General features: G+C 38.9%; 1 long non-coding RNA gene across 1 annotated transcript in view; it reads left to right on the forward strand.

The window, feature by feature from the left end:
- LINC02758 (long intergenic non-protein coding RNA 2758) overlaps positions 1 to 20,675 on the forward strand; it is a 140,695-nt gene that overhangs the window by 25,383 nt on the left and 94,637 nt on the right. The window lies entirely within an intron of this gene.

The following is a 20,675-nucleotide window of genomic DNA, read 5'->3' on the forward strand; positions in this document are numbered from 1 at the left end:
TCTGTCTTATCACAAGGCCTCATTTTTTTTCCCCATCTAATATTTACTTATTTAGGCCTCTGGCTAGCTGCAAGTGTGTTCCTTTACCCAGATACTTCCTCTTCCATATTTAAAAGAATAGACACAAAATATGTAGAAAGTATGGTAAACAGTAAAATAGATTGAAGGTAAGTTTCAGTTTTTTTTCAATAAAGCAGCAAGAAATTTCCTCTCCTGAGCTAATATATTTAAATCCGTTAAAAAAATGTTGTAGGCAACTACTGTAATAAATCTGGTTTCTTTTCAAGAGAAGCACTTGCAAAAGGCTGGGTTTCAGGATAAGGTCCTTCTAAAAAGTTCTATAAACAACCTCCCATTATCCATATCCATATACACACACACAAACACATACATGCACACATTTCTCAAAGTAGGTTTGAAATGCTCACTATCTATGACTTGCAAATTACTTAAAATTTCTGACCTAATGAGTGACATGGGAATAATAATTCCTGCCTCACAAAGTTATTGTAAGGACTGGATAACGTGATGTGGTTGAGTTTAGAACAGTGTCTGCATATTGTAAGGATTCTCTTGTGATTTCTCTCTCCGATCTTCACAGAGCATGAGCACCTTGAGGTCCTACTAGCACTGCCTTGGTGTCACATGTTAAGATAACTTTGTTGATATTCCATTTTCCCACAGTCCTAGTGGAATTTCAAGGAGTCTCTTGAAATTAGTTCATTGTCAATCAATGAGTTGTGCAAAATTGCTTTCTCATCTTCCCTTCAACCACTTGGATATCATCCTCAAGGTGACTCCTGAATAGTCCAAATCTGCCTATTAACAAGGCTTTATTCCCAGGATTTATCAATCCCTGGGAAAACAGAATGGAACATAAATTGTGGTGACCTTCTGTAACAGTCATATATAACTCTGAAGCAATTAACATTTACAATTTAGATGTATACGTGTTTGCGTTTTTTAAGCAAACTCAAGAACCAAAGTATGAGATGCATATAAGCAATAAGAAATGTCTTATGGCTCTCCAACACACCAGATTTGCCCAATTCCTTAAAAGTCTGATTATTTTCACGATCACAACCAATGTTGATCCTAGTATGCCATTGTAAAAGCTCCTTTATCAATCAAAATTTTATTTGTTCAAAAAGATAAGTCTTGCTTTCTCCAAATGATATCTCCCAAAGAAGATATTCTGTGGACCACATCTAAGGGAAATGTGTCTATATTAAACCTGACTTTTAACAGAAATAGGAAACATTTTGCATTTTTTGCTCCATGGTCATTCTTTGACTGAATAATGCAATTCATGCTGAGAAATGTACTCTCAAGCTGTGTATCAGAGCTCCAGAATTCTGGAAAAAAATTGTATCTTTATCATTTTGATGACTGATCTTAATGATTCCAGTGTGCGATATTTTCTTCAGTAACCAAATGCTTAAACTTCATGTTCTGACATTAGCATAGAAAGCAAAGTGAGCTCAAATGTATCTCCAATCAGTTTGCCTTATATATGAATAGCTTTATCTTCTACCAATAAATAAAATTATCTTCCAGGATAAAGCCTGGGGTTAATCTTGAAGAATTCGAACTTGTGTAAGTAAATAGATTGTTTTTGGAAAAGTATAGAAGTGGCCACCAAACAGATCATGGTTTATTCAGGAAAAAATAATTCTGTGGTTGTTACCTGTTCCACAAAATGCTCAACCACATCTTGCTTTGCTTTTTCAGATTCAATTTTCTTTCCCACATCATTCCAAAATTGCAGCTAAATATAGTGCTTTTTAGACTTGCCAAGTTGTGACTCCCTAAAAGTTAACTTGGAAATATCTGTCACAGATATTGACAGAGTGACCAAAGCAGACCTGTGACTTTATTTCAGGGAGAAGTGCCTGGCAGGAAAGCCAAGTGATGTTATATTTCAAAGGATTTAGGCAGGCTAGGGAAAAAATGCAGTATCTGAAAGAAAATATTACATTTATTACTTCCTAGTCTTTTAGAAGCTCCCATTATGGCAGTTGCAAACAAACAAATAAAATTACAATAAATTCAAGCAAGCAGTCACACAAATAATCCAAAAAAAGGAAATATGTTTATGTACTCTAGAAACTGAAAGCCCCAGGGTTGATTAGTAATGAAATGCCTGTGGAATTAAAATAACATCAGAAAGATTTTTTAGAATAATAAACTGTCAAAAGTAAACCGCCCTACTCAAGATTCTGCTTGTTCCCGGCAAAGAGTTTCCAACACATTCTGGAACACGAGGAAAGTTCCTCATTTGCAAAAGTACAGCTAGCAGAATAGATAGAAGGAAGGCAGAAGACTTTATCTTTTCCTTCACCCTTCATTGTGGCCGTGATAAAAAGCTCCAGGGCCTCCTGTCCATGACCTTAGTCCTTTGGAGAAGGCTGGTGGGGGGAGTGCAGGCCAGGCTCAAGCTTGCCATTAGTCAGTGATCTGTGAATAGCTTTCGGTCCCTTAATGACGTGAGCGCAGGCTCCAAAGGGAGCGGGTGACTCAGAGCGCAGGAGGCTCAGAGATTGCCTGAGCAGCCATTAGCACGTCATTGGTAATCCCAGCGACACCTTTCACATCCGCGGTATTTGTCTCCATGCTCTCCGCGGAAGGCTGCGAGAATGTTTTATTTAAGGGCTCTGGGCTGCCTTCTGCCTGACAGGATTGCTTGTCTGCAGGGCTTACTAACACTTGCAGATCTTCCAAGAGAAGAGGGGTGGGGGATGCGGAATTCCTAGTATAGTTACAGGCCATTTCCGTGAACGCAGACATTATGCCTCTGCACTTTGGAAATTGCATGGCAGATTAAAACTGTAGCCCTTGTCCTTTTACTTCATGACAGAAAGAAGCAAAGGAAAGGCTCAATCATTGCTGCGCAAAGTCTGCTTAATTCCATAAATATCTATTAAACGTCTACTATGAAAGTAGTATAATATAAAATAGCGGTCAAGAGCACATCTTGTGGCATCTGATATAGCTGGATTTGAATGACAGTTCTGTTGCTATTTGTGTGACTTTAGGTGAGTTACTTAAAGTCTCTGAGCCCCGTTATCTGCAGAATGGATATAACAGTGACCTTCTCAAAGGATTGTTGCAAAGGTTAAATGATAACAATGTATATATGGCACTTGGCAAATAATAAGGACGTAAGTGACAGCTATTTGATTTCTATGTACTGAGCACTGGGCTAGGCGCTGGGCTACCGGGGCACATAGGACACAGTTCCTCCTTGAAGGAACTCACAGAGCAAGGAGAAGCAAACAAGGAAACAAACAATTGTAGTGTGGGGGTGATAAGTCTATATTAGCATAGTGGTTCTAAAATTTTAATGTACATTAGGATGACCTGGGGATCTTTTTAAAATGAAGATTTTATAAGGAACTTAATTAAGCAAAAAAAAAAAAGCTAGAGAGAAAGAAAGAGAATCATTAAAGAGTAGGCAAAAGACGTGAACAGGCCCTTCTCAAAAGAAGACATAGAAGCAGCTAACAAATATGTGAAAAAATGCTCAACATCACTAATCATCAGGGAAATGCAAATCAAAACTACAATGAGATACTATCTCACACCAGTCAGAATGGCTATTACTAAAAAGTTGAGAAACAACAGATGCTGAGGCTGCTAAGAAATGGAAAGGCCACTGTTGGTGGGAATGTAAATTAGTTCAGCCACTGTGGAAAGCAGTTTGGAGCTTTCTCAAAGACTTAAAACAGAACTACTATTTTGACCCAGAAATCCCATTATTGAGTATATATTCCAAAAATCATTCTACCAAAAAGACACATGCACTCATATGTTCATTGCAGCACTATTCACAATAGCAAACACACGGAATCAACCTAAGTGCCCATCAATGGTGGACTGGATAAAGAAAATATGGTACATATACAACATGGAATACTATGCAGCCATAAAAAAGAACAAAATTGTGTCCTTTGCAGTAACATGGATGCAGCAGGAGGCCATTATCTTAAGTGAATTAACACAGGAATGGAAAACCAAATACTGCATATTCTTACTCATAGGTGGGAGCTAAACTTTGATTACTCATGATATGAAATGAGAACAATGGACACTGGGGGCTTCTAGAAGGGAGGAGGCAGAAATGGTGGCAAGAGTTGAAAAATTAACCCTTGGTTACTATGCTTGGTCTCTGAGTGACGGGATCAATCATAATCTAAACCTCAGCATTCTGCAATATACCCAGGTAACACACCTGCACATGTATCCCCCGCAACACCTCTGGAATCTAAAATAAAGGTTAAAACTATTAAAAGAAAAAAACAGAGAAGAAGATTTTGATTCAGTAGGTATGGCAGGGGAAAGCTGAGAATCTGCATTTCTGTCAAGCACCCAGGTATTGATGAGGGATGCTGGTCCAAAGACAGTACTTTGAGGAGCAAGAACCTAGAGCAATGGATGTATAGGTACATGGAGAGCAAATAAAGGGGCAGCAAGTTCTGCTGTGTTCACCTTTGAGTTTCTGCCTTGTGGATGCTAAACACTTTGCACCCTTTCTTCCAGTTCTTCTGTCTCCCTTCTAGCTGTCCAGGACCTCATTTGAATCCAACACCAAACACAAATGTATAATGCTAAGCAAAGGAAGGGACAGGGAAGCCAGGGACAACTTTGGAAAAAACAAATCTTGAGCTAGCTCTTCAAAGCTGTGATGGACATGCATGTTCACCTAGATAGGTGGGAGAAAAGAGCAGGAAAGTATGCCTTTACTGTCAAGTGCATAAAACTGTTGGTTTAACGTATTTTAAGAGCTAAGGAATATGCAACAGGAGTTAAATATAGTTATTGAACATTTGCCACATTTATGAACTTCAAAAATGTTAAGAGAACATTTTTATTTTTTCCTTCTCACACGGGAGGCTTTGGAAATGTGTACAATTAGCATGGATTATCAACCCCAGTGGGTGGGGAGTCCCATGTGCACCTCCCACGATTTCTTACGAGTGTAATTCCTGCAGGCAGCACCAAGCAAACACAGCTCTGGCTGCTTTCCTTTTGACAACTAAGGTTTCATTCCAAATCAAACCTAGAGGCAATGCTAGGGCTTAATTGTAGGCATTTCAGAGTTGGAATGGTTAGATTCGCACCCAGCCTGTATGCAAAACTACATTTGGGAAACTGACACTTTCTAGCATGGCTTTTCCATATTATCTGTATCTTTCCTTCCATTTGTCCACACCTCCAAGACTCTGCTCACTTGCATTGTCCTGCCTGGGGTACTCTCCCAGCTCTCCTTAACCAGTTGAATTTTAAAACCTAGTTCATTGTTCTAGTCTAGGCAATCTTCATCCCACACTATATTCTTTCTTTTCAACCAGATCATCCAGCTGCAACTGTAAGACTGTAAGGTCTTTGAGGGCAGAGTCTCTGTGTATTTTTTTTTTTTTTTTGAGACAAAGTCTCGCTCTGTTGCCCAGGCTGGAGTGCAGTGGCATGATCTCGGCTCACTGCAACCTCCACCTCCCGGATTCAGGCGATTCTTCTGCCTCAGCCTCCCAAGTAGTTGGGACTACAGGCAAGTACCACCATGCCTGGCTAATTTGTGTGTGTGTGTGTGTGTGTGTGTATTTTTAGTAGAGATGGGGTTTCACCATGTTAGCCAGAGATGGTCTTGATCTCCTGACCTCGTGATCCACCCACCTCTGCCTCCCAAAGTGCTGGGATTACAGGCATGAGCCGCCACAAGCCCAGCCTGTATTCTTTATACTACCTAATTCTGAGACATCTACATGGTAGGGGTCACAGCCTTAAACACTAATAGTGATTAGGGGCGTTTGCTTTGCAGTTGGTCTGTCCTGGGTTTGAATCCTAGCTCTGTGATTCGATAGCTGTCTAACCCTGAGAAATCACAATAGCAACAGCACAACCACACTAACAGTGTTAATCATGAATATTTCTTGAGTTCTTATGGTGTGCCAGGCCATTGTGCAAGTATTTTATGTATACTCTCTTATTCAATCATCGTAACGACCGTATGAGGTTGATGCTATTTTGCTTTGTCAAAGTCTTAATTTATTCATCTGTAAAATGAAGAGAGTAATTGCGATTTCAGTAATAGCCACCTTGTCTGTAAATAAGATGATATATGCAAAAAATTTGTCAGTGTGTTACATGAGTGATTATGCATATGTGGGCCTGTATGCATACACAAACACACAAAGACATCCTCACACAGACACACACACACACACACACACACACACCACACACACACACACACACACACACACACATATATATATGCTGAAACTATGTACTTGGGCAGCCCAAGCACTTCAAACTCATCTTGAAACACCAGCTGCTCTTCTTTTCTCCCCTATTTCAGTTATTCACATTACCACCCACCCACTCACTCAAGCCAGTAACCTAAGATGCATCCTAGGTACAACTTGTTCCCATAGCACATACTATGGTGCCACACACTTTATCTAAAAACCTAAACACTTTATCATAAAAACCTTATGGGGTCTGTATCCTTATATTCACATTCTACATTTTGATTAAACTTTAATACACAATCCTGTGAGGTGTGTACTTATTTTAGAGATGAGTAAACTGAGGCACAAAGTGAACAAGTAACTGGCATATGGTCTCCGCTTGGCCACAGTGCTATCCTAAGCCCCATTTCTAATTGATCACTATGTCCTACTTACACTACTTTATAGATGGTTTTCTAATCCATACCCTTTTTTTTTTCAATTCCCATTGCCATTTCTTAGAACTTTGCTACAATCACCTAATTGGTTTGTCTCTAATTTTTCACCCCTCCTAAATCATCCTCCACCTGCTACAACATTGACCTTTCTAGGGTGCACAGTTATTATTAATCTCTAGTTTATCATCTTTCAATGGTCCTAATTTCTCTTAGAATCTAAGTCTGAGTTTTGGGTCCTCCATCATGTGGCATCTCATCTTTTGTCTCCTACTTTCCCTATTTGTTACTTTATAAGTGAATTGAATTACTTGCAGTTACCAGAATTTCCACTGTAGGCAGTATGGATAGAAAAATAATAATAATGAAGGAGCCAGGTAGTGTATTAGGTATTTATGTATGTTATGAACCTATTCAATCTTTGGAACAACCCTATGTGGTTTCTACTACTGTAATTACCATTTTACACACAAGGCACAAAGTGGCTTACAAACTGAGGCAAAGAAGATTAAGTAACTTGCCCAATTTCACACAACTTAGATTTAAATCCAAGTAGTCTTGGCTCCAGAGTGTATGCTCTTTGCCAACATGCTTGGAAAAGCAAGTAGGGTATGCTGATGAAGTGAGAATGTATTTAAAGAAAGACCAGCTCTCTACCCAATCAGGTGCCTAAGGAGGGCATAGTCTGGTCTACATCCTTGCAGGTCCAGAAATCTGATCTCAATGCTATTCCTGCCCACATTCACAATGACCTGATTTATGAAGCCAGAATGCCAATTTACTAAGTTACAATGAGATCTACAACTCTCCGTTGAACTAGATCGACCATAGAAACACATCGTCCTTTTGTAAGTGCAGTATTAGAGGAGGATAAATAAGTATATAATTCTCATATGCTTTATGCTTCAAGCTCTGATAGCTTACTTCATCCATCTGCACTACTAGAATATACCTTTGAGGTGGACAGGGTACTTTCGTTTGCCTAACAGCCTCCTCCCCTTACCACTCTGAGAGACAAGGCTTGGATGGGCACTGATCTATTACTACTACTGCCTTACTCATCTGTGGGAATATCCTATGATTATTTCTTGATCTATGTTCATACTCTTAATCTGGTTACAGATACAGGAGCCATTCTTTCTCTTAAGGTTTGTTTTGAATATCTTAACTCCAGTTCATAATGTGTGGATTTTATTGGTTAACGACTGGAGAACAGTTACATTTTCTTTTCTTTCAACAATGTTGATCACTTTTATAAACTGGATTCCTCCAAGTTTTCTCACAACTCTTTGCCTTGACATATACTAGTCACACTACTTGACTAACTCTTTAATTCCAGGAAACAGTCTCCAATTTGGCTACGCCAGGTTGGGTAACCCACTTGAGTGTGTGCACTACCTTGCTATCTTCACAATTACATTTTTCATAATGTGTCTACTTATTTGTAGTTGCAATTATGTATGTAATGCCTGCATTTTCTCTGTATATCTGGCTCAGAGTCTTCCATGAGATTGAAGTCAAGATATCAGCTGGGGCTATATTCTTCTAAAGGTTTCACTGGGTCTGAAAGATCTGCTTCCAGTGGATCTCACTCACATACCCAGCCAATTATTGCTGGTTGTTGGATGAAGGCCTAAATTTCTTGCTACATGCCTCCATCCTTAGGGCTACTTGAGTGTCCTCATGAAGCAGCAGCTGGCTTCCCCTGGAGTGAGTGATTCAAGGTAGCAAGAGAGAAGTGATGCAAACCATTGTTTCCACAATATGTTATTGGCTACACAGATAATTCCTATTCAGTCCGGGAGGGATTACACAAGGGTGTGACTACCAGGAGGCCATTTTGGAGGCTAGCTACCACAGCCTATATACTTGCCTTTGTCTGTCTTGCTGATTACAAACAGGGAGCCCAGTGCTTGTTGAATAGTAGAAGCTCTATAAATAGTGACTGAAGCCAAAAGATAAAGGAAGAAAGATAAAGAAGGAGGTGGGGGTGGGGGAAGAAGAGAGAGAAGAAAGGAGAGAAGAAAGGAAGAAGCGGAGAGAAAAGGAAAAAAATTATTTCTTCACCTGTGTCCCTGGCAGAATTATTGGCTGCTTAAGGATAGGGACTGGGATGTTCTTCAAAACATCACTTTAGCTGAATCAGTTTGCTCCTAGCTTAGCACACATTGGAATCTTAATGGACACCAGTTGATTGAATGACTGAATGAATGAGTGATGAGTACATGAAAGAGTACTGAATTAAAGCAAATTTGTCTGTTTTCTGACTTTGAGCAAAAGCTCACTGAGGGCTAGAACTGGAGGATTTCCTTCTTTACCCTTGTTATGCCTATGATGGTACTGAGCTCACATTAAGCCCCTATAAATATCTTCATTGAATGAGTGTGTGAATAAATGAACAGGTCATAGAAATCCCTATCTAATGAAGCTTTATACATATTTTATGTAATTTGTATAGTGTAGGAACATGGTATAGCAGCACAAAAGCCCAGTTTCTCCCCTTCCTCTTCATCTCTGTCTAAACAGCAAAAGAGTGGCTGGTATGTTCATAGAATATGATTTTGTGGGAGGGGAAGGATGGTTGTCTCTGCTATTTGCAAAGTAAATGTGCTGCCCTTAAGGTATCTACAAAAGGATTCTCAAATGTAAGCTTCTAAGTTCACTAGCATTATAAATTGAGATGCTTCTTTTAGTCCAGGCCTTTAAAGTTTACTTCCTGTAAAGGAAATGGTCGTTCTTTACTTTTGCATAGCACTGAATAGTTTACAGAATACTTTCATATTCATTTTTTCATTTAATCCTTAGAGTAACATTATGGGATGGGTAATATTATCCCTGATTTTTAAGTTTAAGGGCTGAATTTTTGCTAGGTTGTGATTGTCCAAGATCACATTATTTTGGATGCAGCAGAGCTAGAACGAGAACAAAAGCCACTCTTCCAATTCTCAAAATTTCCCCCTTAACAGAAAAACCACAATACGTGTGTGTGTGTGTGTGTGTGTGTGTATCATTTCTTTCCATATCCTGAAAACTCTCAGAAGTTTCCATTTTATTTAAAAAATGTGGTCCAATGTCATCCATAGCCTTGTTAAGGGAATGACTGAAACAGAAGACAATAGTAGTAAATCTAGAAATTAGGCAGTTCGTGTCAAAAAGGTCTGGGGACAAATGCAAATATCTCAGCAGGAAGGCAGAGGCTGTCTTTGGACAGAAACTGTTATAGGTAGGTGGGGGGTGAATTAAGATAGTCTGGTAGGAAACACTCTACCTCAAGACACTGATTCAAATATAAAACTCTTGCCCTGGTGTCTTGGGCATGTTTGTTGGAAAACAGAAAAAAGAAATAAATTCACACAACATAAGAACAAGGAAGTGCATTGCATAATTATAGGAAAATTGCCCATAAATAAAATGCTGGAATTACGGCCAAGCCTCGAGAAACCTGGAAAACCATCAGCCTTCTCTTCTCTGTCCTTGCTCTGTTTCTGGATGCATATGGGAGCTCATCTTTTCTTCTCTTGAGAATTTTTTTATCCCTTTTTCTTAAATTGATTGTTCCTATTTACTCAGTTATAGCAAATGGTTCGTATATATTCTAGTTGGCAGTCTCTGCTCCCCATGACGTTTCAACCTGGGTTTCTTCAAAGTGTCATAACCATTTAGTGTCCAGATACCAAAAAGCATAGAAGAGGAAATACGAATAGTTGGTCTTGGGCAAGTGTTTGCCTCTGGTCCAAGTTGCCATGATCAAGAAGAGAGACGACATGGTATGAATATCAGGAGTCCATGGCTGTAGGCTGTATGGTTCTCTAAGAAGAAAGTATGGATGCTGAGAAAATGAATCGAACTTTTAGTTCATTGAAGACCTTATAAAACCAAAGCTAAGATGAGCAAAACCGGGATACAGTTGAAGAGCACTAGATGCAGGATTAAAGCATGATCATTAGCAGGAGGACTTAACATTGAACTTCTAAGCTACTTATCCAGAGATCCTTAAGATGGCTTTAAGTAGTGATAGAATTGTCCCTGGTCCAGCCTGTGGTACAATGGAACTGAGAGTAGGGGTGAGGAGTCTTAGCTAAAAAGACTGGAGTGCTTCAGGGGTAGAGAGTCAAGAAGATCATTAGGCTTTTTGAAGCTAGGAGAGCCAATTCCTTATCTGGGTTAAAGCTTTTCTAAGACTAAAATTTTGGCTTTCTGGGTAGACCCAACAGGTAGGCCTGACTGCCTCAATAAAAATAGCGACATTAAAATCCCCAGGCAGCTTATGGAGCTATACTTGTCATTGAGGAAGGCAGAAAACCAACATCTGATGACCAACTGCTATGGGCCAGGTAATTTTCCTACATTATTTAATTCTCCCATAGCAATCCTCTAAAGCAGTCATTAACATCACCCCTGTTTTACAGAGGAGGAAATGGATTAAGTAATAAACAAACAATACTCTGCTGCTCAAGCTGCCAGTCTAAGCCCTTTTTAGCTTCGCCTCTTCCTTCCCCATCTCTCTTCTTTTTTCTTTCTCTTCTTTCTTCCCTTTCCTTTTTTCTTCCCCTCCTCTCCTTTTCCTCCTTTTCTTCTTTTCCCTCCCCTTCCTTTTCCTTTCCATTCCATTTCATTGCATTTTTTAAAGACTTTGAATCAGACTTTGTTTCTCAGTGCCTTTTTGGACTCCATATTTGCTACACTCTTTTAATTAATCAGATCTGCAAGTGTTTTGTTCCCTGCCATCACCTGCGCTGTTGATGGTAATGCTAGATCCAGAAATGCCTGTTCCTAGTTCCTGACTCTCCCTACTGAGCTGCCCATCCCAGGGCACTTGAGCAGCCTTTTTGGCCCAAGAGCCATTGTCCTGGGGGCTGCCCATTGCTGTTATCATCATAGTCACTATTTACCACTGTCATGTTATGGAGCCTCTTTTATTTTTTGGTAGTCAACAGTTAGCATTTCTTTTTCAAACTTGAAATGCCCAAAGCACTCCTCGTTATTAGCAAAAGGGTCTCAAGACTCACACTTTCACTCCAGTCAGATTTGGGTCCAAATGTGATTACAGTGAGAGCAATTGTGATGATAAATCTGGCCAGCTCCTCTGTAACTCAATCAGTTGGACACTAACAAAGGGAATTGGTAAGGGATTCAGGGAAGAGTCAGGACAGCAATTAAGGGTCTGGCCTTTAAAGACAATATTGGAAATATTTAAGCCTTTACATCTGGGTCTGGTGGCAGAGAAAAAAAGGTTATGATCCCAAAGAACATGCTGAAGAGTAATTTCTCCCGTGCTGTGGGAGCCTCTGTAAGACTGGGGTAGGATGCCACAATGGCTGTCTGTGGGTTTTCCCTTGCTCTCCCCTCTATCTCCTTTAAAAAATCATAACATCACGACAATATTATTACGTTGTTAGGAAAAGGAGACAATAAACTAGAGTTCCTTTCTTATTCTATACAACTCTTGCTCTCATATCCTCTGCTCCACCAGCATCTCTGTAACATAATGAAATGTAGATGTTTCAATCCTCATTCTATGTAAACTTTCAACAACATTTGACACTCTTATCCACTTCCTTTTCGCCTTACTCTCCTGTTACTTTCCTCCTACTTCCTTGCCTATTTTTTTTTCTAGGGTCCTTTGGGTTATTCTCATCTTATATCTGACCTTCACATAGCTAGCATTTATGTAGCTCTTAATATGTATCAGGCACTTGTCAAACCACCCCATATACATTATCTCAGCAAATCCTCCTAACAGCCCATGAGAAGTCATCCCAGCTCTACAGATAAGGAAACTGAGACCCAAGAAAGTTATATAACTCTTAGAGCTGGGGATCTGACCTTAGGAAATATAATTATGGCATCCTTGTTTTTGACAACTACACTAAACTGCTTCCGTTTATTGAAATTCCTCGTACTCTTATTCCTAAACCTTCTTACCTTCTCAGTCTGTACTTCCTCTGCAGGTAGTTTTGGCAATTCCTGTGGCTTAAATTACCATCAAAAGGCTAATAACTCCCACAATTATATTGATAATCCTGACCTCTCTTCTCACCTCTAGATATTTATAATCAACCATTACTAGCCATTTCCATGGAATACCCAGCAGAGACTTCAAATAAAACATGTCCATAATTCTTAAGACTCATTGTACATCTCCTTCCCACCACTTGTCACAATTGCAGTTGAGTAATTACTTTCGTAATTATTTGCTTCTGTCTTCTGTGTTAGAATGGAAACCTGATAAGAGCAGAAAACCTGTTTTGTTCATCTTGGTGGCCACAACTCCTATCACGGTGCCTGGCCTACTCTAGCTGCTCAAAACTCCTTTTTGGAATGAATGAGTAACTTTTTGAATGACTGAATAGGAAATAAATTTTTAAAAGAAAAAAGTCCTATTACACTTTTCATTTTAATATACAATTTTCTAATGTTAATCAATCCCTTGCATACATTTTGAATAAGTCATATTCATACTGAGTTACAACTTAGTATTCCCTTCTTTTCACCTAACATTAAATCTTTAAATAGTTTCCATATGTATTTTATTATGCTAATATTGCATGTGTTAAATAACAGTTCTCTATACTGTTGGCAAAGATTTCCTCCCAACATTTAATTAATATAGGCATATTTGTAATAAACGTTTTTATGCACACAGCTATGTTGTTCTTGTGAAATATTTTCTTAAAATAAATCCCTAGAAGTATTCCAAGTTTAAATGGCATGAACATTGTTATATGTGCTGACATATATTATAAAATTACTATAAAAGATGGTTGCATTGACACCACTCGTAGCAATAGATGAGGGTTTGATCAGCATTGGCAACAGCATCTCAGTTGCTGAATGCAAACTTGGATGAATTGCAGAACAGCAGATGGAATGTTTTTTATGTACAAAAGGATCTTACTCCTGGCCCAATTATGTTATCTTTCTACCTATCATTTAAAATATTTTTATTGTGGTAAAATATATATAACATTAAATTTACCATTTTAATAACTTTAAAGTGTAATATCAGTGGCTTTAATAATGTTGTACAAGTAACATCACTGTCTATTCCAGAACTTATTTGTCATCCCAAATAGAAACTCCGTACCTATTACATAGCCACTCCCCATTTCTCCTTTCCCCTACTCCCAGGCCCTGGAAACCACTAATCTGCTTTATGTCTCTATGATTTGCCTATTCTGGATATTTCATATAAATGGAATCAGGGGTTCAAACAAAAAAATTTGTGCATATTCATGGCAACTCTATTCACAATAGGGAAAAGCTGGAAATGGCCCAAATGTCCATTAACAGATAATTGAATAAACAAAATGTGATATATCCATACAATGGAATATTGCTCAGCTATAAAAATGAATGAAATACTGATACATTCCACAATGTGGATGAACCTAGAAAATATTATTCTACGTTTAAAAACATAGATATTTATACTTCATCAAACCATTTTAACAGTGTACATCAACACAAACAGCTTAAGAAGATGAAATACATTTGAAAGGAACAAAAGATGCGGCAAAAAATACAACCTAAAACATTCATTATCTGGGACTGAGTTTATGCTAATTAAATTTAACAAGCATTTATTGAGTACTACTGGGAGTCAGGCACTATTCTATGTGCTAATGCTATAAACTGAATAAAAAACAGCCCTGATTTCAACAAAATGATGTCCTAGGAAAGATATAAACATGTCAATAAATAACTAACATGTTTAATATGCATAGTGTATTATGCAGAACAATATATTCTGTGTTGTGAGACCCAGAGGAGGGAAAAACTAATTCTATCTGGAAAAATCAAGGAAAGATACAGAAAGGAGGTATCATGTTTGTTTGGTCCTGAACTTTCAGTAGGGATTGTCAGGCAGGGAACTGAGGTACAATTGTGTTAGGGCAAGGAAGGGCAGAAAAGGAAAATGACTTTAACCTTCCCCTTCCTTCTTGCTGACTCAGATCTCTATGGGTCTCACAATCGGCAATCTATGTTCCCATAAAGTGATACTACATTGGTGCAAAAGTGATTGGCGTTTTGCCATTACTTTCAATGGGAAACCGCAATCACTTCTGCACCAATGTAATAACACTTTATCACGACAGTTTTGAAATAAGCTGAGAATAATTTTGATTTTATTTTTACAAAAAGACAAGTAGAGCCTTGTGGATGCTCGATGACAATAATTTTTGAATATTAGTAATGTCAATATTAGCTGACATTAATAACGTGTTCAATGCCACATTTTTGAGTACATTTTCATTGGTTTCTAAGAAGAAATCGGTTATAGATTTAATGATCTTTGTACATGAAAGGGAAAAATTTTACTGCTTGTTAGAATTATAATAATTTTAATTCAAAACACTTTTGTCTGGTCCTTTGAATGAATGACAGAGTTAGTCTACCATCTCTGACTCTGAATGCTCATAGTACAGAATGAGTACCCAAAACATGCAGTAGATGTGCCACTGTGCCTCCCTCTTGCCCCGTGACAGGTATGTCTAATTAATAATTATGGTCTTTGCTGATGAGCGCAGACATGCCTCTGAATGCCTATTCATATAGGCAGCCATACCATGATTAATCAGCAGCAATTGACAAAATTCTATTGCTATGTCTGTCAGAGAGGAGGCTATATTGGGGTTGGGAGTCAGAAGTTGTGGGTTTGAGGCCTAATTCTTTCTTTAGCAAGCTAAGTAACTTCTCTGAGCCTCAGTTGCTTCAGCAGGAAAATGCTATCAATATTGACTTTAAGGGTTGTAGGAGGATTGAATATGGTCACATGAATTAAAGGGCACAGCTCCAGTAACATAGTAGGTGCTCAATAAATAAGTGTAGTAAAATCAGGATCCTTTGACTTGCCTAGTTCTTTCTGCATCTTGCTTCAATGCATCTCTTTCTGTCCAAAAGAGAAATGACAGCTGTTCCTATTATTGCCAGTGTTGCTGCCATTCTTGCTTTTACCCAAAGGAAAAAACAAGGAGCCATTTTCTGCTTCCTCTCTTTCAGCCTTTGTCACTAAATTCTGCCAATTTATTTGAGGCAACTCTAATTCTTTTCCCTCCTTTGAGCTGACCGAGCACTGCCCTGACACTGGTGTTGGTTCATAACTATATGCCTGCATTATTTCATCAACTTCCTGTTTTTCCTTCCTTTATTCCGAGGTTTTTCAACCTCTGCACGATTAACATTTTGGGCTGAATGAGTCTTCATTGTGAAGGGCTCTTGGGTGCATCTTAGGATGTTTAGCAACATCCATGACCTCTACCTACTAGATCCCAGGAGCATTTCCTCAGTTGTGATGACCAAAAATGTCTCCAGACATTGCCAAATAGTTTCTGGTGGGTGGAGGAGGAAATAAATTGTCCTCAGTCGAGAACCATTGCTCTAATATTATTGTTTTAAATCATTTCACCAAGCTGAGAGATTATCAATCAATGGTATTTTTGCTATGATATTTCTTCAAGGACTGTCAATAGATTTCCATTTCCCAAAGATGTTAATACCTTAGCCTAGTTGTCAAGTTTATCAATAATTGGCCCTAGTTATTTTTCTTTGAACTAGAACTTTTTAAAGTTTAATGCACCTATTAATCATAAAGTTATCTTTTTAAAATGCAAATTCTGCCTTAGTAGGTCTGGGTGAGGCCTGAGACATGGCATTTGAAAAAGTTCCCAGGTGGACTTGATGCTGCTGAACTACAGAGAACTTTGAGTCACAAAGCATTGAAAGACCTCAACCAAGTGCTTCAGTACCTGCTGAGTGTTCATAAAGGACCAGGTCCTGCTTAAGAGGAGCTCATAGAACAGCAGAAGGGAGAGAGAAATAAGCAAGTAACTATAATAAAAGTTGATACTTGTTATCATTGAGGTAGGATTACAAAGATATGAAGATGCAAGTAAGGGAGAAATTCATCCTACCTGGGGCTGATAGGTGAGGGGTAAAGAGGAAATACCTGCAATGATTAGAGAAAGCTTTGATATGGAAGTGCTCCTTTATTTGGGCCTGTAAAATAGGTAGGTGGTCTATCAGGTGGAGAGGAAAGGGAGGTACCTTTCCTGGAAGTGAGAACAGCATGATCAAAAGCAGAGAGACATAAAAATGCAGGAACTGTGTTCAGTGTGGCTAGCACCCAGGTTGGGACGGAAGAGGCTCAGTAAACTGCCTTCAGAAGCCTCTTGTCTGTCATACTATGTATTTGAGATTTATTATGTTAGCCAGGGGCTTTTTAAGTAGGAAAACAACATGATCAGGTGTTTGTGTTTGAAAGACCATGCTGACGGCCGTGTGGATGGTGGGTATAATGAGGAACATCCAGGAGTCAAGCCAAGCTGCTAGAGGTGAGCGTCTTAACTAGGATGAGAGCAGCGGAGGCTGTGGTGAGCTGGAGCTGACTCACACCAGCCCACGAGCGTCGATGGGGGGCGTCTCTTCCCATAATCCACATGTAATCATGGTGGTAGCTTGAAATCAGCCACAGTGGGAATATACACCATGAAAAGTGGCAAATGCCAGAAATATTTCCCTGAGAGCCAGTTGTTAAGCATTTATTAGCACACCACTGTGTGTCACTGAGGAAGCCAGCTGTGATAGCCACCTGGAGGTGATTTATTAGATGTGTCAGAATGAAGAACAAGAATACATCACAGATAACTTGCCCTTATTGGGCAATTGAGTTGATTCATTTATTCATACAATGCATATTGATTGAGGACCCCCTATACGCCTGGCATTGTTCCAAATACCTGTCCCTGTGGAGCTTACATTCTAGTAACATGATGTCATTAACTGAGAAAAGCTGCGGGCAGTGGAAGATACTTATTTTAGTCTGGGATACGGATGGTATATAGATGGAGTCTGATATGGTTTGGCTGTGCCCCCACCCAAATCTCCTGTTGAATTGTATAGTTCCCATAATCCCCACGAATCATGGGAGGGACCTCTTAGGATGTGATTAGATTATGGGGGCAGTTCCCTCATGCTGTCCTCGTGATAGTGAGTTCTCACAAGATCTGATGGTTTTATAAGGGGGTTTCCCTCCCCCTCTTCACTCCGCATTTCTCGTTCCTGCCACCAGGTGAAGGACGTGTTTACTTCTCCTTCCGCCATGATTATAAGTTTCTGGAGGCCTCCCCAGTCATGCTGAACTGTGAGTCAATTAAACCTGTTTCCTTTATAAATTACCCAGTCCCAGGCAGCATGAAAATGGACTAATACAGAGTCTTTCAGGATTAATAGAGAGTCTTTCAGTCATAAATGTGCAGCCATATCCTGTGCTATACTTTCTAGAACATTTCACATACAATTCTAATTAAGTGTTTACAGTAACTTTGTAGGGCAGATGGGAGAGGTAGCTGTTGCTCAGATGGGAAAAACTGAGGCTCAGCTATTTGAAGAGATTTGCTCAAAATCACAGAGCTAGTTAGTGTCGGAGTCAGGATTTGAGTCTCGGGTTTCTGACAATTAGCCTAGTCCTGCCTGCACAGTGCCCATTCTACTGTCTGCTCAATCATCATTATACAAATGATCACTACAAATTATATGATGGGACCATCATAGAGACGTTCCCCTGCATCCTGACGCCATTTTCACCCTCAAAGTGCTTCCCTGGCTGTGATCTCAGTTCCTGCTCACAGCCCTAGGTGCTACTCCATGGTGCTCATTTGGGCTTGTTGCTAGGTGCAGCTGAGCTGAGAGTCACAGGCTCCCTGCTCCCTGCTGTAAGCCATGGTTGCTCTGATTATGCTAATAGTAGTTTTGTCTGCTGTTGCTATCAGAGACAAATCTCTCCCATTCCTGTTTCTGCTTCCCTTCCCCTGTGCCTGCTCCTGATTCCTTTCCATCTCACTAATTTCTGTCTCAAAATGATACACCATTACCTCAAGGATTTACTAAATAATAATAAGAAAAAACAGTAAAAACGGGTAGCAGTAGAATCTATATTTGTTGAATGATGAGTACAGTATCTATAAATACCTTCTTAAAATAGAACGAGACTCGTTCAAAAATTGTACTATAATATTATAAACATTAAGTTCATAATATAATATTGAAAGAGGGAAATATAAGGTGTGATACAATGGACTTAGAAAATGGGGGCTCCAATTGCTCAAGAGTCAAGAGTTAATAAAACCAAATACCGCTCATGTCTGAGATAATTAAATGCTTTTCTGTAGGCATTTGGGTGAACACCCAGACAGAACAGGAACTATTTTCCAAATGGCATATCACACTAACTTTCCAAAGTGCAGCTACTTTAACATAACTAGCTTTCCCTTTTTCTTTTGTAAAAGCATTTTTTGCGTGCACATGAGTATATGTCTGAATATATATTTATATATGAGACTATATATATAGATATGAGTGTATCTAAAGCAGCTACAGTAGTGTTGCTTGGCTGAGTAGGAGGTGATACAGGACTGTGCTATTAGTGAGCGGGAGGTAGGAGGTGGCTATGGCTGATGGGCAGGCGTGTGAGGTAATTGCAGGGTAATACTGTCTGCAGGTATTTTTAGATGACACGAGAATGAGAGGATGTTGGTTGGTGGTGATGGTCTTTCTTCTTCTAGAACACAGTGATGAAACGCACATAATAAGAACATAAGGCTTGCCAATTTGGAGCAGACCTTTTGTCCATCCAGCCTAAACTATTGATGACAGAGTCATCAACAGCTGTGTTGTGGGAGAGTAGGTTTTTAATCTTCCTTGGCATCCAGCATAAATGTTAGGGACTATGCCCTCAAAATCCTGGGTTTCCCTTAATAAGTCACTGTAGATGTGCCATCTTTTAATCTATTTCAATCTTTTAAATAAATGTTGGCTTGGGCTATTTCTTGGGGAAGAAAGTGTTTCTTGGTTTGGCAAAGTTTGCTCTCCACTGCGTCAAGCAGAACGTCTTTAAATTATCTTCAACTTACTTGTTTTTTCTTAAGCTTTAAGGGGGCACATAAGTTATTTAGCTCTAAAATTCATTGCATTTTGTAGGATTCTAGCTTATCATCATGTTTTCCCTGTGAGAGATATACCAACTGTAATCAAATGAGATTATGAAGATGTAAGTGTTCTGGAAACTGTAAAATTTCTATAAAGTTACTGTCATTTTTACTCATGATCAAAACCTAGGAGTCTTCCCCGACTCACATCCATTTTCCAGATCCTAGTCATTTTGTCAAATAACTACCTACTAATGTAACATTGTTTTAAAATTTAAATGCTACATTCAATGGTGGAAGCTCTTTAGGATCTACATCCCTGAAAGGAACAAGATAATTAAAAATATTCGTTGGGACAAAACAGCCTGAACTTTCTCACATTGCATCTGCCATTCCTGTTGAATATGGGCAAGACCAAGTCTCTTTTATCTGGAAAGTCAATATCTGAGATATAGGTTTAAAAGCTCTTTCTTATTTCCTTTTACTATGAGAGCATTCTAAAGTGTGCTAGGAAAATTTAAACCAATATTTGTATTAGAATAGTACTTTAAAAAGCAAATTGCTCATATTGGTTGTTGAAGTACCCTTAAAGTAATTTGATGTATTGATATACTTTTACTTTTACATTTAAGTATTGCTTGTTTTTACATACAATCCTCCTATAACTTTGCCAGAGTTATAATTTATTTGTGTGTGTGTGTATGTGTAATTTAGTTTCAAGACTTGTTTTAGGCCCTGAATGTCTCTTGCTGGGCTTCACATCTCAGTAAATGGCACCTAGCTCCAAAGAGTCACTAGTGCAAAACCTACAAGTCTTCCACCTTCATATGCAAACAGTTTCCAGGTCCTGTACAGTCCATCCACTTTTCTCCATCTGCATTCCCACATCTTCAGTCCAAACTCTAATCTTTTTATGGTTTCCAGCAATAGAATCCAACTAGTCTCTTTGTATTCACTGTTGCTTTCCTCAATCCAGTCTCCAACTAGAGTAATTGTTTTTAAATACAAATTTGATGACATTCATTTCCTCCTTAAAAGGTTCATTCCTGCTTTTAGGTTGATAC

This window comes from Homo sapiens, chromosome 11, assembly GCF_000001405.40.
Source record: "Homo sapiens chromosome 11, GRCh38.p14 Primary Assembly".
Classification (NCBI taxonomy): Eukaryota; Metazoa; Chordata; class Mammalia; order Primates; family Hominidae; genus Homo; species Homo sapiens.